Below are 25,648 nucleotides of genomic sequence, written 5' to 3'. Positions count from 1 at the left end.
GAAAATGACAACAGTTTGGGGCTGGGAATTCTATAGTTAATTCTGTTATTTCTGTTAGCTACACTGTGTTCAATTGGAAAATGAAATGGATTATTTCCTTCACAGAGGATTTTCTTTCTTAATAAGAATCTATATGTATAGTACTGGGTAATAACAAGGAGTTCTAAGTACAGCTAGCTCAGTACTAATAATTTATTTCTTACCTGTTACCTCTACCTACCCCCATACATCTTCTGATGGATTTAGAAAACAAAAGACATCAAGGGAGGAAAGGTTAATCACCTATCTTGTATCTGCCTACCTTTTTATCTAAAGGAATGTCTTCTTTCAAAAAGGCTATAATTTAGGTAAGATTATCTTTACTGAAGGAATAAAGGAAGAAAGCAAGAAAATGAGGGAGGCAGGAGAGAAAAGAGGGAGGCTGGAAGGGAGAGAGAACACTGGTAGTGAGGGCAGTGGGGAAAAAAGAGGAAAAGGCTTTTCTCACTGTCATCTGATTCTGTTTGGATGATGGAAAAAACAATCCCCATTTGCTTTGTAAGCAGTAACTACGTTTCATATCTCTTGCCTTCAGAATTAGAGATTACTGACAGTGAAGTCCTCCATCAGAAAAAGGCCTGGCAAACTGTGGTTCATAGTCTTTACGCAAAGTGAAGCATTGCGTTGGAAAGAGATCTTCAGATATACCTGATATGGCTTTGGTATGGACCTGTTAATCCTATGAGCACTGACTGGCTACCCTTACCTGGGCGAATCCATTGGTGTCTTAGTCTTGGTTCCGTCAGACAGAGACTCTCATGAAAACATTATATTGCAGGAAATTTATTTGGGAATTAATCCCAAAAAACACTGATAGGGGAATGAGACAAGGGAAAAAAAAAAGAGGTTAGTACAAGTTATCAACCAACTTACCATTCAGTAACTGAGATTGAATCCTGCTGGGGAACACCTGCAGCTAGTATAAGAGCTTTTTCCTCAGAGTTATCCCCTCTAAGGGGCAAAGGGTATTTATCTACTAACTTCCATTAGTCATTAGCTGAAGGTTGCTTGGGAGAGGAGAATGGGTGTTAATTCCCTGGCACCTTTGACCTGCCCTGCTATACTGGGGCAGACCAAACTCTGAAGAAAGACATCGAGCAGAAAGATGGAGTTGCTGGAAGTTGGAAGTCAGGCTGGTGTTTTCCTCCTGGTAAGGCCTGATGTTCACCTCTGACAGTTGATCTTGCCTTGCATTCCACTCCATCGCTATTTATCTACCTCTTGTTACCCATCCCTCGTCTCCATCTTAAGGATAAATGTTTAGTCTTGCCTTGTGGTTCAGTATATTGTTGTTAATATGACCACCACCTCTCCTACCTGAAGGATAAAATTTGAAGTTTTCATTGATTTGGCAACCAGCAAAACACCAGATCTTGAACCAGAAAATGCAGGCTTAAGTACTGCCTGTTCAGTCTGGTTTACCAGCTTAATAACTCTCTTTCAGCCTCATTTTCCTTGCATATGAAATGGGAATAATGTAATTTTCTCTGCTGAACTCTGAGAGTACTGTAAGGACTTAATGAGATAATACAAAGTGTGCTTACTAAATATATGTCCTTTTATCCTATATTCTAGAACTGGATCTCCATGAGGGCAGTGTTTGTGTTTTTTCACTGCTGTTCCTGCCCCCAGGGCATAGAATACATCCCACATAGTAGGTACAGGACAGATATAAGAATTACCTATTAAAAGAAAGTAAACATTGAAGTAGATTTCCTTGATTTCAAATATTAGCTCAGCTATTTGCTGGCTGTGTGATTTCACACAACGTTTTCATCACTCTAAGAGACTTTTTCTGAGGGATTCATTAGTCAAATGACTTTCTGACAAGGTTGTTCTAAGTATTAAGAAGTTCCTAGGGACATATTCTCCCTCAGCACCATTCATAGCCTTACCCTTGGGGATAGTGTTACATTTCCTACATCTAAATTTGAAAAAACAATCTATTAAACTACTGCCATAAGAAATATTTTTGATCTTTGTCTGCAGCTTCTGGCCTAGAGCTTCTAAAACCCTTGGAGTTGCCTGAGTGATCAGGTGTCTTTTGTTATTCATAACAAGCCCCCTTAAGAGTACACCTGAGTTTATTGTAATAAGGTGATTTATAGCTGGGCCCTTAGATAATCTCAACATGGGACTGGTCACCAGAAACACCAAGTGATTAGAGGGCTGGAACTTTTAGCCCCACCCACTGACCTCCGGAAGGGTAGGGGGAACTGGAGCCTGGAGAGAAGAGAGTTGATGAACACCTCCAGGTGTTGGGAATGCGGTTTAACTGAAGAGAGCATGGAAGGTCCGTGCACCTGCTGCTCTCCCATACCTTGCCTTATGCGTCTCTTCCATTCAACTTTAACATCACCCATATGAGGTGGAACTATGATTTCTACTCACTAATGTGTAAATCACAGCTCAGGGAAGTTACATGACTTTTATGTGAGCAAACAGCTAGTGAATAGCACAGACAGGATCTAGGCATGCCCGACTCCAAAGCCAGGGTAAAGGTGTTGCTTTTATACTTTTTCTCAAGTAGCCTTCCTTCCCTCATGCATATTGTCAATTAGATCCTAATTAATAGGCAAAATATCTTCACTGACTAAAGATGGCAATAGTCAAGGTGTTTATTTTTGTTTGTTTATTTTTGAGATGGAGCCTCGCTCTGTCACCAGGCTGGAACGCTGTGGCACAATCTCGGCTCACTGCAAGCTCTACCTCCTGGGTTCAAGAGATTCTCCTGCCTCAGCCTCCCGAGTAACCGGGACTACAGGCACGTGCCATCACGCCCCGCTAATTTTTCTATTTTTAGTAGAGACGGGGTTTCACCATGTTGGCCAGCATGGTCTCAATCTCTTGAGACTGTGATCCGCCTTGGCCTCCCAAAGTGCTGAGATTACAGGCGTGAGCCACCACACTTGGCCAAGGTGTTGTTTTATAGGGACATAATTATGGATTCAGCATAAAATAGGGTTTTCTTACTAAGAATTATTTTTCCCTATTAGATTTTTGTACAATGTAGCCCACGTGCCTAGAGTAGGTATTTAATAATGTTGTATAAATAAATTAGGTATTTATTGGTATATTCAAAAATAATTATAAAGAATTTCCATGTGATAAGGAGGGGTCAGGCTTTAATTAAGGGCATATCAGCAATAAAGAAAACATGATTCCTATTTCTGAAAGGTCTCCAGTCCTGTGGATGAGGTGATTAAATCACACACACACACACACACACACACACACGCAAACATAAATACAAATTGTGAAAAGAAGGAAAAAGGGGAAAATCAAGGACAAGACAGAATAATAAGGCCGTTAGACAGGGAAGGCCTTGGTAAGGAAATGATAAATCATAACAGAAAAACAGATGATTTCCCGATTCACATCCCCTTGACAGGAATCCAGGCACTGAAGTTTTGAATCTGATGAACCCGTAAGAGCACACCTGAGTTTATAAGTAATAAGGTGATTTATAACTAAGCCCTTAGATAATCTCAGGATGGGGCTGATAATACCACTTCCTTAGATATAAGCTCTAATTTCTAATAAGTTAAAACTGGGCCTATGTAAAGGGCCACAAGGAAACTCTCTGATGATGAAAATATTCCGTATCTTAATCAGTGTGGTGCTGATTATTTGGATTTATAAATTTCTCATTTCATTGAATTTTACAGTAAAACTTTGTAAATTATAATACATTATATAGTAATAAAGTTAATTAAAAATAAAACTAGATTTAAGCTAATAGGTCAATAAGCAAACAAATTAAAGATGAATTCAAATGATTCTGAATTACCCACATCTAAGTTTTAATGGTTTTACATGTCTGGGAGTCGTGTATTATTGGATCAGTACATGCAAACAGATAACTTTTACATCTGTATCAATAGTTCTGACTTGTCAAGTATATCAGACTTTTTTTTTCACTAATGCTACTAAGATAGAAGAATAAAAGAGATAGACGCTTTTTCAATGACGTGAAATGCTGGATTTTCCCCCATACTGTGGCTGCATTCCTGAATAATAAGAAGAGCATCACGATAATGTCTTTTGTTTATAAAATTCTTAGCTCTGAAGAAACCAAATTGCTTTGAATTTATGTCTACATTGAATAGCTTTTACCTAGGAGAAGTCAGATGTGTATTATCCCCATTTTGCAGGGAGGAAGCAGGAGCACAGGAAGGTTTAGGAGATGGCAGACTTAAGTATCTGTCAAGGGCTACAAGGGCTGTGATCGTAAACTCCATTCTGAAGTTTTCTCTTTTTTTTTTTTCATTTATGTATCATTCAAAGAAAACCTATTTCTGCTCTGTGTGTATATGTCAGCATTTTAATAGCAGGAGAACAATGGAAGATGTTCATAAACACAAAAGCTGAAAGTATTTGTCATGCCATTTCTTTATTCCAGACTTGATAAATTGATACACAAAGTGATATAACTAGATAATTATTAAATAATACATGGCTTCGGAGTTAACATCCATTATGCATAGATGTGAATTAAGATTTCAGAGTAAAAGGTTCTTCCTTTATTATTTGCCAAACAACTCTAAACATGTTTGTGCTGAAAGAAATAGTTTAATTTTGTAGTCATCTGCTGGATGCGAACAATGGGAAGGCTATTTTCTCACAATGTGTGGTAGCATCGTACAGCAGAAGGCAGAAACCGTGGAAGCAATGAGCTGAGGTAGGATACAGCTCAGGCATTTACTAGTTGGGCAATATTGAGCCATCATGAAGCATTGTAAGAATTACAGAAAATGTATGTAAAACACATACATGTTGTCTGGCAGATAGTAGACACTAAAAAAAAATAAGTAACTATTATTGGTGTAATGGCTCTTTAAGGGCAATTTAGGAGTAGTCCAAATCCAGACATCAAGAAAAGGAAGCATGGAATGTTGGAACATGAAACCAGGGCCAGATTAAGACTTTATTTCTCCTCATATTAGAAACATATCAGACTACATTAAGACTTTATGTCCCCTCAAATCAGAAATTTATTGTGTCCTCCATAGGTAATTCAAAGTAAAAATATTATTCAACTACATAATACAACTCTAGATGTCTGTTGAATGCAAAATAGTTTCTAGATTTTATGATTGCAAAGTTCTGGATGCATTTATGAAAGGTGAGGTTTTCGTTTGTTTGTTTCGTGTGGGAAGTTGAGATGCTAGGTTGGCTGGTTTTCTAGGAAGATGATGAGGCTCCCTGCAGGGTGATGCAACACTAAGTGGGGCTGACTGTGAATCCTCTAAGAGATGAGGCAGGAATTTAGGAATGCTGACGTCTAGAGATCTTGGGTAGGTGGGAATGATGCCTCTGTGCATGGTTGTCAACATTTATGGAAGACATAATTCTTAAACCATTGTTGAAGGTGGGGATCTAACCCAGCCAGGTCAGGAGAGTTGAAGAATGTTTATGATATAAAACTTTAAAACTCTGATATGTAGCTTCCAATCTGTGGTTAGAAATCTCTGAAATTGTAAAGTAATAATATTTGAAGACAAACATTATCTTTCTCTGACATTATCTTGTCTTTATAACATAGCTCTTCCTAGATACATTGATAAGTGGCATATAAAATATATAATTTTATAAATATAAGCTAAAAGAATAGTTCATATGTTTTGCCATTCAATATTTTTATTATTAGAGTAACATAATTACTTTAGATAACAATCTCCTAAAGCTGGTTTAATGTGAGCATCTAAGGAGACATGCCCAAGATTCTAAAGACATAAAGGGCTGTAGCTACATTTTAAGGTAAATTACAAATAACCTGTCTATACCAGGTTATAGCAAAAATAATTGTCTTCCTTGAGCCTTGACAATGAGTGAAGAAAAACAAAAACCAGGAATTTTAGTAACCACAAGTAGGTTCTCATTTATGGTTTGCATCCTGAATTCATTCTACTTGGGAAATCCAAAGAAAGAGAGAGAGAGAGAGAAAGAGAGAAAGAGAGAAAACCCTCAAGTCAAATATTTACAGTTGGTGAAGTTTGGTAAAGCTTCTAAATATGTGGCAGGAGAAAATGCAAATTATATCTGATTTAGTTCACATTTGACTCAGGCATCAAAGAATTCCTTCAGATAAAGCTTCAAGGAATATCAACTTAGAGTCAAAAACCACAAAATACACAAGGAAATACCATAAATAGGCATACCACAGATGAGAAATCATATCTTGTGAACCTCATTAATAACGAGGGACATACATATTAAAATGAAGGGTGAGATACAGGATTGGCAAAAATTAAAAGTCATGTAATATGAAGTTTTGGCAAAGATGTGGAACAAATAAAATTGGAAAAGTCCATGTTTCAAATAAACGTATTTGGGAAACAAATTGCCATATTACAGTAAAATTGAACATATGCATGCCCTATGACTTAGCAATTCTATTCTTAGCTATAAACCTAAGGGACACTTATGTGTCCCAGGATATCTGAATCAGGAGACACAGGGGTGAACGTTAACAGCAGCAATGTTTACAATAGCAAAATAGTGGAAAAAGCCCAAATGTCCATGAACAGTTGAATAGAGGGGGATAATGGGGTATTTTCACATAATGGGATACTCTATACATTAATGAGAATTAACAAACAACAGATGCATAAAAGAGCGATTCTATCATAGAGACATGACACTGAGAGAAAAAAGCAAGTCTAGTTACACAAACTTTAAAAACATGCAAAGTAGGATGTTAGAGGTTATTAACCAATGTAGTAAAACTATGAAGAACAGTGAGGGAATGATAAAGCACTATGTTTATTTTATACCTTTGGTGGGTAGGAGTAATGGCTGATCTCAGTAATGGATCCATGAGGGCCTTAAAAGTGATCGGCATGCTGTGTCCAGAATTGGTGGGTTCTTGGTCTTGCTGACTTCAAGAATGAAGCTGCAGACCCTCGCCGTGAGTGTTACAGTTCTTAAAGATGGTGTGTCCGGAGTTTGTTCCTTCTGATGTTCAGACGTGTCTGGAGTTTCTTCCTTCTGGTGGGTTCGTGGTCTCGCTGACTTCAGGAGTGAAGCTGCAGACCTTCGCAGTGAGTGTTACAGTTCATAAAGGTGGTACGTCCAGAGTTGTTCGTTCATCCCAGTGGGTTTGTAGTCTTGCTGACTTCAGGAGTGAAGCTGCAAACCTTCGCAGTGAGTGTTACAGCTCTTAAAGGTGGCGCGTCCACAGTTGTTCATTCCTCCTGATGGGTTCGTGGTCTGGCAGACTTCAGGAATGAAGATGCAGACCTTCGTAGTGAGTGTTACAGCTCATAAAGACTGTGTGGACCCAAAGAGTGAGCAGCACCAAGATTTATTGCAAACAGCAAAAGAAAAAGGCTTCTACAACGTGGAAGGGGCCCCCAGGAGGTTGCTGCTGCTGGCTCCAGTGGCCAGCTTTTATTCACTTATTTGGCCCTTCCCACTTCCTGCTGATTGGTCCATTTTATAGAGCACTGATTGGTCCATTTTTACAGAGTGCTGATTGGTGCGTTTACAAATCTTTAGCTAGACACAGAGCGCCAATTGGTGCGTTTTTATAGTGCTGATTGGTGCATTTAAAACCTTTAGACACAGAGTGCCAATTGGTGCATTTTTACAGAGTGCTGATTGGTGGGTTTACAAACCTTTAGCAAGACACAGAGTGCTGATTGGTGTGTTTTTACAGGGTGCTGATTGGTGTGTTTACAAACCTTTAGCTAGACACAGAGTGCTGATTGGTGCATTTTTACAGAGTGCTGATTGGTGTGTTTACAAACCTTTAGCTAGACAGAAAAGTTCTCCAAGTCCCCACTCAACCCAGGAAGTCCAGCTGGCTTCACCTCTCAATGCTATATTAGTTAAATTGGGTACCTATATTAGGTACACAGTGTTCATTGCATTGTAATTATTTATCGCTAACAGTGTTTACAAACATTCTTACTATATCTTCAATACTTAATTTTAAAAAATTAGAAATAATGTAGACACAATACTGCTTGATATTCTTCTTATTCCCATATAAAATATAACTGTTTCATGTTTCCTTTTTTGTTAAAATCTAATTATTTTGTCAAATATTTTTAACATATTCATCTTCATAACTTATTCTAAGAAATCTCTACCTACTTTATAAACAACCTATCTAGAATAGTTTATTTTTAAAATTAGAAGTGCCATATTGGAGAAGGTGTGACAGAAATTCTCATATACCACACCAAGTACTGCTCTGTTAATTGAGGTAAGCAACTATGATTGTTTTAAAAGACTATTAAAGTTTGTATTTATTGAAGATATTGTGGTTTTTTTAAGAGTTATATACTCTGTCATCTCTCATTGGCATGATACAGAATAATGAACATTCCCTTCATCTTTAGACTCATTCATTGAATTATATATTCTCTAATCTTTCTTCATCATTATTTAAAATGTTTTTTCTACTGGTTGAGTAGGAACAGGATATGTACAGTTTAGGGAAATATGAATCAGAGGGAAATTGAGTAAACACACCCGCCCCCACACAAAGACAGGGGTCTCTCTTTTAGTATTTAGTGTCTTAGTTGCAAATGAAAGAACTAGAAAACTTGCCCAGCTAGAAAGTTTGCCTCTCTCATGTGCACATCAGTGTCAAAGGACATGTCCAGATTCACAGGATAAAGGGGTAGTTCTTGATCTCTTTAAGAACATTGTGTATCCTTTCCCTTTAAAACAGAGATACACTACACCTTCTGAAATCTTTGGAACAGGTGATCCTCAGGCAGGCAGAGGGATATAAGTCATCGATGTTGTGTTATGTGCAAGGCTTCCAATATTAAAGTCTAACTTAGTTGGAAAGAAGATTTCATGCTTGTTGATATTCCTCTCAAAGGCAATTATCTGCTGCTATCATGTCTGAGTTCCCAGAAGGCCCAGAACTGTAGTATTTTATTAATGATGGTCTGTAAGAAGATATATATTGAATTGTGTTATTTCATTAAAAATAAATTCCACACAGTTTCCAAGGATATACCAGCTTCCCTAATAAATCCAAAATGCCATCCCTCCTTTCTCTCTGGGTCCATTTTCTTTTGCCTTCTCTGAATCTGTGCCTAAGCCTAGATGTAGTTATCTGGAAAGGTATGCTAATGAAGGACATGCACATATATTTTTCCATTATCATTTCCTGGTTTTTATGGAAAGAAACACAATTCATAGAGTATTTAGTACATTTGAGACTTCCAGGGCAAGTTTATGTTTTGAATATTTATCTTTTGTTCGCTCCATTTCCTTCTGCTTCATAATTTTCCCTAAGCTGCATATACCTTCTTTCCAGCCACAAAGCCTAATTTTATTTGCCCAGAAAGAAGAAAATAGGATTATGAAGCATAACAGTATCCGTGCCTTTTCTATATTTCTTAATTCAGAGCAGAGTCATGAAGTTGAATACAGCAATCCCTCCCCACTGACACACCTGATTGTGAGTTCTCCTTATATAAAATCAACCTGTATGTGAATTTGCTTTTCAACAGCTGTGAGAAAATGGAATCTAGTCTAGGTAAGCCCAGTGAATTTTAAATCACTTCAGGTGAGGTTAATTATATTACAGAAGGAGCAGAGCTGGAAGTAGCAACTTAGGTAAGGTTAAATGCTACAGGAATAGAGATTATAAACACTGAATCTTTAAAAGAATGAAAGGAAGGTAATGCTTCTTTTAAGATTGGCCATAAAAACATATTCTTAGAAGTCTTCAATGCATCTCACTAGAGGTCAGCGTCCAAGAACTTAGAGCTACACCTTTCTTGTGCCCTCCTGTACCCCAGTGTCTAGCTTAGTACATCACAAATAGTAGACATTTAGTAAATATTAATTGAATGAAAGGAGAATGAATAGGAGTAAATAGATCACACCCAAGAAACAAGAATCAAATTAACCTTAGATTTTTTGAGGGCAACATTGGATACAAGAAAACAGTGGAGTGCTATTTGTAAAGTATTAAAATAACTTAGGATCTAGAGTGTGATATCTGGCTAACTGTTGTTGAAATGTGAAGACATTTTTTTTTTTTATCACACAAAGCCTCTGAAACTTTGAAAAGACCCATACAGGGAGCAGTTTGGATCAAGTATCTAGATGAGAAAATTGTTTAAAATCTTAGGGGATGTTGCAAGAAACATATTTTTAAAGTAATTTTATTCCTTGTTATAAACTGTTATAAATATTGCTAAGAGCAAAGAAAAGAGAAAGCACTAACACAGAATTAAAAGTCTAGAATGATAATGCCAACATGACAGACGTATTTGAGGAGTGAAATTCAATGAATGTGATGTGTGCTGAAGTGTTTGTTTTAAAAATAGTGGGAAAAAGGGTAGACAATTATTACTGAAAGGTATAGAAAATGAGACAAAATTGAAATAATAAACTAAAATGAAGTATATCAAAACGTATCAATAACTACAATAAAATGTTAACTGAAAAAATGTCCAAATGATTACATACAACATTATTACCTTTTTTAAGTTAAAAAATCACACATACACAGGCATATATATATATATATATATAGTGCATAACATGGAAAAGAAGGGAGTGATAAATGTGGAATTCAGAGTATTGGTTGCCTGAGGTGATGGATTGAGGGGGATTATGTGTTTGGAGTTATAGAGGAGCATAGGGTCAACTTCCTAGTTTTTGTTTTGAGTGGCAGGTTTGCTCATTATATTATTAAAAATCTGTAATTGTCTAAATGCAATTTTCAAATTGTCTAAAATAAATAACTATTATGATAGAGATCAGTAATATAGTAATATTTATCACTAATATAATATTTATAGATGTTCACATATGTTGTATTGTGTAATGTTTTATTTTAGTGAAAATGAACATATGTAAATGACTTTCATAGCTGTAATCCTGCCCTCAAGCCTTATAACTTTATTTTCTGTATTAGCATAAGATCATAGGTTTCTCTACCCCAGATTCTTTTAACACAGGGATTCTATGCAAACCTAAGCACTGCAGGTGAGGTGGAAAAAAGTGCATATACAAAACAGATGTATTTTCCAATTCAGAGCTTCCTTATATTAAAATCTCTGTTTAATTAATTTTACACAATATTACATGGTCGACTAACTCCCCTTCTCTAAGCACCCCTGGGAATATCTGAAATATTATACAGATGCTCTTACAGAGAATTACATTACTAAATGTCATTAACATAAATCAACATTCAGTATTAATTTAGTGGTTCGGGCTTGGAAGTGACAAACCCCTCTGGATTTCACTCACCTCCAATTTCCTGTATATATTTATGGCTTCGTGCACTGTGAGTTTCTCTGTATGGACTGCTTCCTTTCCAGATAGAGATCCCCTGAGGAGTTTGACTGCCCACTCTCTAGAAACTGCTGCCTCACCAGTAGCCTCTACTGCCTTCAGCATGTTGGCCTTTTTGGAAACCTTCCTCCAATGTGATCACGGACTTTCTCAAGCCTTTTTCATACTGTTTGGTCACTTGTGGAAGATTAAAAACAGAGGAGAAAGTATTCCAGATAGAGAGGGACTATATACAGATATACAAGAGGCAGAGCAGAAACGTAGAATCTTACACACACACACACACACACACACACACACACACACAATGAATGGTGATCTATAGTGTTTCAATTTTAGAAATGAAAGAGTGAGTGCTGCTAGCAACCCACGTGGGCAGAAGTCACCCATGGAGGTCCTTGCATGCATTGTAGGGTGAATATTCTTCTTCCTACAGATGAGGAGCTATACATGAAAAAATTTTAAGTGGGGACATGGACTCAGGGGACTTAGCTCTGGATTGGGCTTAGCACAGTAAAAGACTTCACTTCCACACTTACCACCTTTTACTATAGGATCCTTGTTCTTTTTGTCCACATTGTTTTAACTGTTATATATTTGTTATATGAAATAAATCTCTACAAATCCTGTTTGGAAGCAGGTATGAAAAAATGATAAAATTTATTTAGTGATCTCAATGTATCAAGAACTTTTGTGGTAGTATTTCATTTAATCCTCACAATAATCCAGGGAGGTAAACACTATTTATTACTATCCCCATTTTACAGATTAAGAAAATGAATCATGGGGACAAGTAACTTTCCAAAGAGCACACAGCAAGTTAAAGAGTTATGTCAACTGTCTAAAAACAGAGCAAGTATTTTTGACCACCATGCTTTAGTGTTTTTTATTGAAATGTACCATGTGGCCCATAGAACTGAATGATAATATCCTGTATGAAGATTTTAGGTGTTGAAGAGCTGCAGACTGCATGTGAATGGCCCCCCATGAGATTCAAGGCTTTGCTCTAAATACTGCTGATGTACAACACAGGAAACATGAAATGTGTTTAATTGCTGTTCAGCTAACTCTCCCTGTGTGTATTGTTTCTGTCCTTAAAATAAATGAGCACCTAGTAATGGTCCACAATGTGTTGTAGGTATTTAACTAAAATCATTTAATACATAGTTTATCAATGTGATTATTTTGGAAAGACGTATCTAATGAGTTTTTCCATGTGAATCATTCCATGAGAGAACATCTTTATCTGAATTCTAGACATTTGGGATTTTGTAACAATGCTTTCATATTTTGAATGTCATAAATATAAATGCAGCCAGCTGAGATAGCTTAATAATCACAAAGAGTATTAAAGAAGAAATGGAATGAATATTTATTTTGTGTCTAATAAATGCCAAGTACTATCTATTACCTCACTAATTCTCAAAACAAACCTTGAGGCAAGTATTATTATCCCCATTTAATAGAGAAGGAAACAGAGGCTCAGAGAAAGTAGAGAACTAGCTCAATATTTCCCTGTTAATAAGTAGTAGTGCTGGGATCCAACCTAGGTCCATCTGTATCCAAAGACTTGGCTCTTTACACTGTAATATCCTGATTGTAATATGCTGCTATTAAAAGTGTACAGGAATCCATGGATATATAAAAAGAAAAAGAAAAAAACTGAAGAAACAAAATGTAAATGGTGGCCTAAGCCTATTGACTCACAGGGCAGCATTCTAATGATTTGGCCAAAAATCTTCCCCAAATTGTAGTGTCGGGTTAGAAGTGCGACATAAATGACCATCTGGGTCAATGTTTTCAGTGTCAGTACAAGACCACCTTTCTCCAAGCTAAACACTTCCATCAGACAAAATTGGTTAAGGTAGGGGCAGAGGGTGAATATTTCCTTTTAAATCCAAGATTATAGTCAAAGAATAATGGAGCAACTTTATAAATAGATAAACATTTTGAAAATATGGTATTTTTTATTGATGGTGCTGATTCAGACACAAATATGGTTTTATATATTCAAGATACAAATGTGTTGGCATATACATTCCAGCCTAAATTACAAAGACATATTTGAACTCCCCACACAAATAGTTATAATTATGTCCTGTATTCCATGAGCGGCTGTGATTCCTGAGATCTTTTACCTGCATGTGTAGCCATACTCAGTTCCAAACTGTATGATTATATTAACAGCCTGAAACTCACCAACCAATGGAGACTGAAATTATTTTTGCTGCCACTGGCACCCAAATACCCACAGACTCACAGCTTTTCCCTATTTCTACCATGTTTGACCATGTTAGTCAAAAGTCTGCAATTGTTTTTGTTTTTGTTTGTTTGTTTGTTTTTGTTTTTTTGTTTTTTTTGCTCTGTTCTGAAGTTACCTTCCACACTAGGACTCTGGAAAAACTGATGGCTTTCTCCCTGAACCCAAACCCCATTCTGTATAGCAATAGTCATTGTCAAGGATCCTTTTCTGAAGGACACCACTTTTTACCAACCAATGGTGGATTTCACTGGATATTGATGCAAATCAAAATGGTGTTTACTGTGTTCCTTTGGGCCCTGTGTAGAGGAAGCTCCTGACCTGAGAAAGAAATACATACTCAAGGGCAAGCCCGTAGTTATACCCAGCCTCTACTCCTTATTTCTTCCTCATATGCCTGAGTTGCTATGTACCTAGCATTTCTCATTCATGTGAAATACACATTCATGTCTGCTTCTCTCTTCCCATCCAATTCTTAGTGTTCCATGTTCTTATTTTAAGCCTAGACTGCAGCTGTTCTATATTCCATCTGCAATCTATCCTACATATCGCTGTCAAAATGATCTTTCCTGAACTTCACTTTGTTTATACTATCTCTTTTAAGAAAGACTTTGTAGCTTCCTATTAGCTACCAAATAACCTAGAAAATATTAAGCTTGACATTGAATGACCTCCACGATATGGTGTTTCTCATCTTTCCAGACATCTATACTGTACTTCCTCACTCCTACCCTACATGTTTATTCAACTTGTCTGGTTTTCATTCTCTGATCACTGAACTTGACTCTTCTGTACCTTGAAGACTGCCACCTCCTACTTCTCCATCTATTTCCATTAACCAATTTTTCATGGACTTTTTCTCCATGAAGTATTGTATTTTAAAGACTCTTACCATTGGAAAAAAAAAAAAACCTTTATAGTCATTGAGTCAATGATTTACTCCCCTCTACGATGTCCTCTATTAATGGTCACCTAGCTTGCGTCTGGTGGCCTTATGGAAATTGGTGGGTAGGCTAAGAAACAGACTGTTTCTTATCTGTATGTTGCCAGGTACATTTTAGACACATTGTATATGTTTGAAACCTGTTTATTAAATGAATGAACACATGAGTGAATGATTGATGGATTGGCTATTTCTTAAGGCAGGAGTCAAACTTTTCCTGTAAATAGATTGTAAACATGTTCAGCTGTAAATATGTGTGGCATCTGTGTGGCATCTAGTTAACTCTGCTACTGTAGCAGCAAAGAGGACATAAATAATCTGTAAATAAAAAGAAGTAAGATGTTTGTGGCCTGTAATTTGTGAACCCCTGTCTTAACACAAGCCATCTTGAGACAGTTTTTAGTTAGTATTCTTCCTCTTGTTACTTCAAATTTCTCTAGCTAAAATGTTATGATACTTGCTTAGATGTTCCAGAACCTTGCATGCCCCCACTTGAATGCAACTTCTGCCATTCCTTGCAGTATTTTTAGTTTCTTCACTCATGAAGCCTTCCTCCCAGATTGTGTCCCATTTGTTTGTGGATCTTATAAAATGTGGTATCTTCAACTAAAAGCAATGCTCCATCTCGATATGACAACTTAAAAGTAAAGCAGGTTCATTTCCTACCTTCCTCTATATACTACAGGTATAATAATAAAGCATACAATAGCATTCGTGTTTGTGGGAGGCACATCGCATTTCCTGTTGATCCTAAGTCATACTTCTGCTCTGCACTCTTGCCTAAACCATTCTGTATTAGGGAGTGCTGGTTTTGTTTTGGGGAGGAGGGCAGGGGAGTACTCGAAATTTAACTTGTAACTCAAGTAAAATTGTTGAACAGAAACAGATAGATAACCAATTGGAGCAGAGTATAGACTAAATCCTGGGCTTCTGATTTTATTTACAGTGCTCTTTGAACCACACCACTCTACTTTCCTAGTGAGAGAGAAAAAAATCATGATTTCAAATTAGTTAAACTGAGCAACATTTGCCAGCCTTGTCAATAGGGCCCCATCAAACACACATGAAACACACCTGCTTTCAGTCTCTTGCAGGTGCTACCTCAGCAATTTTTATAAAATGCCTTCTCATCTGAAAAACATTTTATGGCTTCATGCTGACTATACTTCCTTCAAAATTTACCATATGAAAGACTTTATGGCATTGCCCCAACCTCTCCCTGTTATTTAATTAAAAGTTAAATAACTTTTAATATTTTTAATATCAAAAGGAAATTATTAAAATATTATTTTCCATGCTGATAAGCTCTGTCCTGGAGAGCTCTTTGTGGTTCAAAGTTAACTCCATGCCTTTGTCCGTCTTTATCTGTTTGTCAGACTACTTTTTGTAAGTACTTTGTGATGTTAAATGTAATGTACTGTGTACTGACAGTCACTCAGCTATAGGAAATCTGGGTGTCTTGGGCAAAAATTGACTTTCTTCCCTGAACTCATGAATATTGATGTCTAGAAACTGAGGTGCATTCTTGCCAGTGTCAGGTGTACTTGCATTATAAGTCAAAGTAAGCTTGCTTGCAAGTAGGTCATATACATCATTGTATCTTCCACAATCCCAATTAAATTAAGAATGAATTGATGTAAATCTATGTTGCTGCCTTTCTGAAGTTTCCAGGTTTATGTATTAATGGTGCTGTTTAGAATAGTGAATGATCCCAGAATAAAGTTAGAAAGCCTAACTCAACAGTTCCGTAGCCTCATCAGTCAGTAGGGAGCAATGGTCTAGTAGAGTTTCTGGAAGTCTGGAAGAATCTTTGACTTAAAGCTCACTGAGTAGAGTGTGCTTTGCAAAACCTGCTGCCTCTTCATGGAAAGTCCCCCATTAGCTGCATGCTTCATTAAAGTGTTTCCTGTATTTATTGCCACATGGGATATATAACACAGATTCCATGGGGAGTTTCCTATCCCAGTTACCACAAGTTTAAGAGTTTCACAACCCTCTGATACTTGAGAGCTCTTTCAAAAGCCTCCCTGCTTAAAATGGCATAAATAACCTTTTGTCCACTAACTGAACACAATTAAAGATAGAACTAAAGCTAGTAGCTCTTCCTGGATATGTAGCAACTATTTTCTGCCTCACCATGGACAGGTTAGGATACCTTTCTTGGAATGCTCTAGTTTTACTTTTCTGTCTGAGGAATTTTATCTACAATTGCGTTTGTATTTATGACATTTAAGCCTTTGATGCAGTGTAGTGGTGGCATAACCTGAGTAAACCAGTGATGCCACAAATGCTTAAATAGAAAGTATAAATGATTTGATCTAGAATTAAGAGTTGTGAATGAAATAAAAGACTTGATGTAGAATTTCTTGAGGAATAGTGTGGAGCAGTGTTCACTGCTTGTAAAATCTTAACTGGATTTTCTCACAACTGCATAGAATTAGGTAACTTCTGTGTTCTGATTGTAAATACTGCCTGAAGTAACATTTTACTGGACCGTAAATTGTTCTGACTACATTTCATGCCTGATAAAATCCTTACATTTATTGCAGAAAATGTAAGCCCTTGTTCCGTAACTAATCTTTTAAGTTTTCTGAAATAGAGAAGTCTTGAATAGTCTTCCTAGAAAAATGGCATTATTAAAAGTATCATATTGTTCTTTGCAAATAGGCTAGTATAATTAAGGATTTTGGTCACAGTAACCTTGGAATGAGTGCTGAGATACATTTTATAGGATATATAGACATGTGTGTACATGTATACTATATCCACTTGAGCTTTGAACAATGCAAGGGTTGGGAAACTAACCCCCCCACACACAGTTGAAAATCTGTGTATAACTTTTCTACTCCCCCAGAACTTAACTACGAATAGCCTACTGCTGTCTGGAAGGCTTACTGATAACATAAACAGTAGGTTAAGACATCTTTTGTATATTATATGTATTGTATGCTGTATTTTTATAATAAAATAAACTGCAGGAAAGAAGGTGTTATTAAGTAAATCATAAGGGATAGAAAATATATTTACTCTAAGTAAAACTGGACCATCATAAAGGTCTTCATCCTCTTTCTCTTCACATTGAGTAGACTGAGAAGGCAGAGGAAGAGGAGGGGTTGGTCTTGCTCTCTCGGGCATGGCAGAGGCAGAAGAGGTGGGGGAGGTGGAAGGGGAAGCAGGCATACTTATATAATTTTTATGGAAAAATTTCCATGTATAAGTGCATCTGCACAATTCAAATCTGTGCTGTTCATGGGTCAACTGTATTTTAATATAATATTATAAATCAACGTGTGTTTGTACATATCTACTAACATCTCTGTAGATGTCTAGATTTCAAGAGATCTAAATACATTAGTTTAATATTCCAATGGCAGTATAATTGTAGCTATTGTGTAATAATGAAGAATGATGACTTACAGGCTGAAATATACCATCATTGCCTATGTCTACTGCATACACAAAAATGTTCTGAAAATTTGTTTCAACTCTTCGTTTTGATAGGTAGAAAGATATAATGGAAAGGATATGGATTTCAGAGCCTGACATATCTGTGTTCAACTCTCTGCTCCATGTCTTCCAAATTTACCTTGATTTAGGTAAATTTTCTGGTGAAACAAACTCTAAGACAGAGGTTTTCATGCATGAAATTTATTGGGAAGTTACTTGGGATCAATGTATTTATAGGTGTCCCAAGCTGAGGAAAGGGAGTCCGGTCTTTGTAGTACAATATTAATCAGTCATTAGCATGAGCTGCCTGTGAATAACCTGTCTTGGTCAAGGCAGTTCCCTCGGGTGGAAGGTGGAAAATTCCCAGAGAAGGACTCAGCTGTGGGCTACCAGCAGCCAGCACTTCAGGCAGCTAGGGCAGTGAGTCTTTGTCACGAAGTGGGTGATGCCATGTGGCATCTACTTGGCACTACTTGCATCATATAATATATTTATCCCATCTGAGAACAGCTCCTCCAGAATCCGAATAGGTTGCCATCTTTAGGAAACCTCTTAGAAGAAGATTAGTGGGGAACCATGGCCCCTGCTATTCAAGCTCACAATAGATACTTAATATCTCTCGCTTCGCTTCTCTTCTCTTCTCTTCTCTTCTTCTCTTCTCCTACCCATTCTAAAATTCTCCCATCCTCAGCCAGTACCCTAATGAACATATGTGGCCTACCTTATGGGGTAACACAGACTATTACTAAGGGATCTGAACCCCTCCTCAACATTTTATTTTTAGGCTGCTGCACTTGTCCGTTTATTACAAAAAAAAAAAAAAAGCAAGGAAAGTTCACAAAATGCCTAGTGTATCACCTGCATGCCAGATATTCTTTTCTGCCCTTATTGTGTAATAGCAGCCATATCAGATCCTGATGAGGAGATAATTGTCCTGGCAAAGAGAGTGACGCTTCTCCTTGCTGCCAATCTCTTGGCACAGGAGCCCAAAGTAATTTGGTGTAGGATATAGCTTGAAGCTTAATGAGATTCGTACTGTGTCCCCTCTCAGAGGCAGTGTCTCCTCTCAGAAGCAACCTCCCTCTGAAAACCAAGATCTCTAGACCCACAGAGCCTAAACTTTTGTGAACAGGAAATGCAAATTTCCCGTTTAAGACTGTGGAAGTGATGCTAGGTTCAACCACTTCTATATTTTCCCCTTCGTTCCTAGACCCATGTATTCTACCTGTTGGGGATGCAGTATCAAAGAATGGTCATTGATTTAGAGAATTTACCACATCTTTAGGATTCCAAAGGCTGTTCCATCACTCATCAGACCAGCACCTTCTGCGGCATGCAGTGCGTACCAGGACAAGTGGATCTCCTGACTATGTACCCACTTTCTACCTCCGTCCAAAGTAGTCGCATTGGTCTGGATGATATTATGCAGAATTATGTATTCACCTTTCAGACACTCTGTAGGCCCTCAGATCTTGGTGCTAAACAAGGCCCTGCAGGCATATAAGGCAAACCCTAATTTGGAATTGGCTCAGTTCTAGTCAAAATGAGTTACTGCTCCTTCTAAGGTAGTAGATGTCATAATCAGCTTACTACTGACTAGCAGGCTGAACCGGGGAATAATACTGAATTGAGACCCAGCATCTACCCCTGTTGCTATTAGGTTGGACAGCTCATCCACATTTTCAGGTATGGAAAATCAGAAATGGATAATTGAACGGTCCCATTGCAGCAGATGGATGCTGCCAAAGGAGTGGAGAGAAGCTTAGTGTGGGGTGTATGTGTGTGTGTGTGTGTGTGTGTGTGTGTGTGTGTGTGTGTGTGTTAAGGGGTGTGTGTGCGATAAGGGGTTGGAATTTCTTGGGTGGGGTGTTAGAAACATAACAAAGTCCAGAAAAGGTCCAAGAATAGGTCCTGGGAGTTCTTAAGCTGTACAAGAGGGTCGTCCTCTAAAAACTCACTAATTTATATACTTTGTCCTTATCTTTTTAATTTCCTGTTTTTGTTTGCCTTCAGTTTCTGAGTTTCTTTTCAATCTTACTTTACTTTTGGTCGAGGTGGGTCAATTTGTCAAATTAAAAGAACACAGGCTAACTTGGTAAATTTGGGCAAATAAATGACTTTTGTGAGACTCAATTTTCTCATTTGTGAAAGCGGAGTAAAATGGTTATTATAGAATATTGAAACCTGCTTATAAAGTGCTTATACATGGTGGGTGATCAGTAGTTGCTTATCAATATTGAAACAATCCTAAACAATTACTGCTGAGCTAAGGAGGAAAGGATAGAGCTTCCATCCTTATTTGGGGCTCTGGTTGTACAGATCTGGCAAGCTAGAAAGAAGGCAGGCAGATGAAAGGAGTTATTGGAGGTCTGCTTCCCATTTTATCTAGGGACCCACCTAATAAGCTGTTTCAGTGATCGGCCTTGTGTTTTGTTTGGTTTTTGCTTTCTTATTAAAATAGTATAATTTTTGCATTTATTTTTGGATGTCCTTCTTTCTATGTTGTTACATTTTTAAAAATTTATTTTCTCCTTATAAAAAAATATTATAAACACTTAAAGCATAATATTCATGTATCATGAAGGAAAAAAGTTCCCTCTTCAACCTCTTATTAAAAGGTTACTTTAAGTGTCTGATAGCTACTCCTTTAGATTTGTTTCTATGCACAATTGGATATTACATATATATATATATATATATAAATAAAAACATATTTTTAACAAAAGTAGAGTCATGTTACATATATTGATGTATCAAATACTCCGTAGGCCTTCACGTCGTGGTGCCGAACAAAGGCCTCATGTCCTTCGTCTATAAAATTGGGACAATACTATTACTTACCTCATGAGGTTGTTGTGCGGGTTAAAGGAGAAACCTTTGTGATTCACATATGCCTGTAACATGCATCTGTGTCATACACATGTAAGCCTGGTTGTGTCATGCCTGCCATAGTAAAGATTAGCTATTATTATTATGCTTGTCTGAATCCATATCTTTTTTTTTTTTTTTTTGAGATGGAGTTTTGCTCTTATTGCCCAGGCTGGAGTGCAGTGGCCTGATCTTGGCTCACTGCAACCTCTGCCTGCCAAGTTCAAGCAATTCTCCTGCCTCAGCCTCCCGAGTAGCTGGGACTACAGGCGCACGCCACCATGCCCAACTAATTTTTGTATTTTTAGTAAAGATGGGGTTTCGCCATGTTGGCCAGGCTGGTCTTGAACTCCTGACCTCAGGTGATCTACCTGCCTCAGCCTCCCAAAGTGCTCGGATTACAGGCATGAGCCACTGCGCCCGGCCTGAATCCATATCTTAAATCCCAACATGATGTTTTATGTTAGTTTTTTTCTCTTACCTCTTTATTCCTCAAAGAGAACAATGACTAAAAAAAACATCGTTTGGGTAAATACAGCATTATCATAATTACAATTTCCCTGACAAAAGTGGCTTGCAGTTTGAATATTCAGCATCATAATTACAATTTCCATAAGGAATGTAGAGCATTTATTATAAACAACAGAATAATCACTTGGTCCATAAGGGAGAACAGATTATTAGGGGAGTAAGGAGAGAGAAGACGCAAAAGCCTGTGTTCTAATCAGCATTCAAGAGTAGAAATATAGAACCTGAGAAGAAATTGTAATAGCACCTTAAAATAATCTTGCCTGAATTTATCAAAAATCTTATCATGATGGCTTCCATGGGATAAGTGCTGCCTATATAATTTTTTCTTTCATACAATTTAATCATGTTTATTAAACATCCCCTCTGCATTTTTACTCATTGTCATTCATAATTTCTATACTCATAAGAAATTTTAAAAAGCAAATTATGACAAAATTTAAAAAGTAAAAATATATTAAAAACAATATAGGAGAAAAAGAGTTTTATCAGTTTTTTTTCTCTCTGTAGTTAAATGCTTCTTTCCTGTCAACAAGAAAAATGGGTAAAAGTTAAAAGAAATAAAGAAAATGTCTTTTTGACTTCTTGTGTTACTTTAATTGGCTTTTATTTCAGTTTCCTTTTTGTGTGTGTTTTGTATTTTTTAGGTGAAGTGAGAAAAACAGAATGCAGCTTTCAAGGTTGGTACATTTTATAATTTTTGTTATAAATTGACAATTTGTAATTGTGTAAATCTATGGGGTAAAAACTAATGTTATAGTTTATGACTGCAATGTGGAATAATTAAGCTAGTTAACATATCCATCAGTTTAAATTCTTAACATTTTTTGTGGTGAGAAGATTTGAAATTTATCCTCTTAGCAATTTTCAAATATAAAATACTCTATAATTAGTTAGAATTAGTTAGATTTACCATGCTGTGCAATAGAACTAACAAGAAAAAAAGCCTATTCTTCTTGTCTAACTGAAATTTTGTACCCTTTGACTATCATCATTCCATTCTCTCCAACAGCCAGCCTCTATAACCACCATTCTATTCTCTATTTCTGTGACTTCAGCTGTTTTAGAGTCTACCTATAAGAATGTGAAGTTTGACTTTCGTGCCTGACTTATTTCACTTTGCATAATGTTCCCTTGTTCTATCCATGTTGTCATAAATGACAGAATTTAACATGTATGTTAATATGAAACAATATGAAAGTAGCAGAGAGAAATATATCCTTAGCTTTGCACCAATAGCTATTAGAAAACATTATGTTTTTATTTTCCTCACTCATGGACAGAAAAGTACAACATAGACTTAAGTGAATTCAATATAGCAATTAAATATAATAGCTGATTCAATCTGTAGCAAAATTGTGAAGTTGGAAGTATGTAACATTTTCATATTAACATTTAATATTAATAATTTTTCACTCCATCCATCTATCCATCATTCCATCCATCTACTATTCATATATTTTTATCAATGAATCCTAGTTACATATTGTGTGCAAGGTCCTGTCATCTAATTTCCTCTCTTCGTACATTGTTTGGCTGACCTTCAACAGATTCGCAACCCTACCCCTTGCTCCAGCACTTTCTGCTTATTACTAGCAATAAACCTTCACCTATTCTAACAGGTATTCGATTTTAACTTGCTGTATCTGATAAATGAGCATAGTTTCCCTAACATTCCTCAGCTTATGTGTATGCCAATATGTCTACTTCCAAATAATTGGGGCAAAGAGGAAATCATCAGGGCGATAACTACCAAGTATATTTTAATTCAAGTAAATTAGGAGAGTACAAAGAAATCCTAATCTGGCCTCTGAGATAGAACACTCAGAACTGAATTTATATATGAGCACCCTTGGATAAAGGTACAGCGTAGCCCTGCAGTGACAAGGTACTATGGCCTGAATGTTTTTATCCTCTCAAAATTACTCTGCTGAAGTCCTAACCCCCAAGGTGATGGTCTTAGGCAATGAAGCCTTTTGGGAAATGATTAGGTTCATGAATCACGAAAGGGATTAGTGCCCTTATAAAAGAGGCCCAAGGGAGTTACCTTGCCCCTCTCAGAATGTGAGGACACAGAAAGTGCTGTCTCTAAGGAAGCAGGCTTTCAACATACAGTACTCCTGCCTGTACCTTGATCTTGGACTTCCCAGACTCCAGAACAATGAGACATACATTTCTGTTGTTTCAATGCACTAAATTGATGGTATTTTGTTAAAGCAGCTAGAACAAACTAAAACACTAGTGTTCTCGTTATAAAAGTTTAAAACGTCAATGGGTTGAAATGGAGCTATCATCTCCACACTGTACTCCATAGATAAATGGTAAAACTTAATTATCTGCAATGTCCTTATGGAGAAATTAAAAAAGGAAAATAATTCTTGATAACTCCAGACCCATCTCCAGGAAACATTTAAATATTTGAGTGAAGGGGCCCAAATTTGAACCTGCCTGTGAAACCTAGTCTATCCCTACAATATCCCATGGTCATGCTTCCATTTACGTGCACTCTATGTAGATACTTCTGATGGCTTGCATTAGCCACTGTAGGTATACTCATGCCCTTCTTATAAAAGGGAAGCCCAGTAACAGATTTTTAGATTGAAAAATGCTTCAACTATTATTCATTTTAATCATTTTTGTCTTCAAATAATAAAATCCAGGCCTATAGAGGTTAAATACGTAAACTGTTCTAAATCAGAGTTCACTAATGACCAAATAGGGTCCACAATCACATTGTTTACCATCTTAACATGAGGCGTCCCACAGTGGTGGTTGGTATGGAGGATAGGAAGGTCTTTCATTTGGAATAGAAACCTTTCTGTAACAACACATTTCATACCAATCTGTTGGCTAAAATTGTTTATGTCCTCTATTTTTAAGCATTTCTCAAAAACCCTTTTACTTCCCTGACTATATCATGATCTCCCTGAAGGTAAAGCTCATGGCTATCATTTCTCTGTATTTTTACCATATTTATAAAGTTTAGGTAAATGTTGTGCAGTTCATTATTATTCTAAACCTTATCAATAACACTGAACCTCTGCCTCTATTCCAACTCAGTGAATTCCACTCATATTCTTTGTAGAATATCTAGAAAAAAAAATCACTGAAGGAAACCAGAAACCAAAGAAAGATGGCTGGGTTTTGTTTTTGTTTTTGCATGCGTGTATATTTTGGAATGTGTGTGAGGAGGAGGTGGTCAAAAGAAATCACTTAAATTTATCTGAGACTATGTGGGTTTAATGATTTGCAGGGTAAACCATTAGAGCGACTGAAGAGAATAGAGAATGCCTACTGAAAATGTGAAGGTATGTTTGGATAGATAGAGAGGATCCAGAGGCTAAACGTTAGAATAAGTAGACTCAGTTTTTAAATACAGAAGAAAGATTAGGAATAAGAAAACTAATTTCCTTTTTATTATAGATCTTAGATCTAATTTCCTTTTGTCCTTCCTGTGTATTTGAAAATAGGATGTAGCTCTTCTTTCCATGTGAGAGCTGTTTAATATTTTCACACTCAAAGTGTCGTGTTTAGATTTGAGCACCACACATTTAGAAGTCTATAAATAACCTATTTTGCCCTTCAAAATATGCAGAATGTCAGTCAAAGAAGCAGAGATTATACAATGATTATTAATTAAAGAGGAATACCAATATTCACTTTACTCTTTCAAAGATCATTAAAGGTGATCAAATCTGTAACTCACGGCAACTCTTTTCACAAATCCTTTTCTTCACCTGTCAAATCTTTCACACTGCAATGTTTCAAATCTTCATCAAAACCTTAAGCTCTTCTTAAGCCCTAGTTCTTGCCACTTTTGCTACATATGTATCTCACTCTCCTTTCTTCCAGCATTTTATTATGTAGTTCAACCTAGTCTCTCTTACTAAAACCTTCCCTCTTACCCACCTACCTGTCTGATTTTATCTTTCTAGGTTTTCCTATGGAAGAGGAGAGATAAGAATAGGCAGATTATGTAAATGCTGAGTGTACCCAAATGTCAGTAAATCTTGTCTTAGCCATGCATATTCTATAGCATGGTGATGGACTCAAAATTGTAAGCAGTGGCAGCACGTGTAGTGGTTATAGCAATGGTGTCACTTTTAATTAAACATGGTGTGAGCTTTTATCTCTACTCCCTCCCCAAAAGTAACTAAAATAAGAATAAAGGATAAATAATGCATAACCCCCCAAGGACAAAGTAATCAAGAAAGGTGACAGACAATACCAGACAAAAAATGGCAAACACATTTTCAAAAATGTTAAGTGGATGGACAAAGATA

The 25,648-nt window shown here is 36.8% G+C and overlaps 1 protein-coding gene across 14 annotated transcripts in view, besides 1 other annotated feature; it reads left to right on the top strand.

Moving 5' to 3' along the window:
- LINGO2 (leucine rich repeat and Ig domain containing 2) overlaps window positions 1–25,648 on the top strand; it is a 1,275,985-nt gene that overhangs the window by 818,721 nt on the left and 431,616 nt on the right. For 12 of the 14 annotated variants that reach the window (NM_001258282.3, XM_047422814.1, XM_047422810.1 and 9 more), the window contains one exon: window positions 22,013–22,045. The exons of the other annotated variants lie outside the window; for them this stretch is intronic. The gene's annotated coding sequence lies outside the window, so the exon portion shown is untranslated. The remainder of the gene's footprint in view (window positions 1–22,012; window positions 22,046–25,648) is intronic. 14 annotated transcript variants of the gene reach the window in all.
- Window positions 5,033–5,534: an enhancer, noted in NCBI's record as "NANOG hESC enhancer chr9:28389345-28389846 (GRCh37/hg19 assembly coordinates)". NCBI's record gives its function as "activates a minimal SCP1, AML or CMV promoter by ChIP-STARR-seq in primed H9 embryonic stem cells {active_cell/tissue: H9 hESC(primed)}" and the evidence as "EXISTENCE:reporter gene assay evidence [ECO:0000049][PMID:30033119]".

This window comes from Homo sapiens, chromosome 9, assembly GCF_000001405.40.
Source record: "Homo sapiens chromosome 9, GRCh38.p14 Primary Assembly".
NCBI lineage: Eukaryota > Metazoa > Chordata > Mammalia > Primates > Hominidae > Homo > Homo sapiens.
The sequence above is the reverse complement of the archived record's forward strand: the minus strand, read 5'-3'. Positions and strand labels throughout refer to the sequence as shown.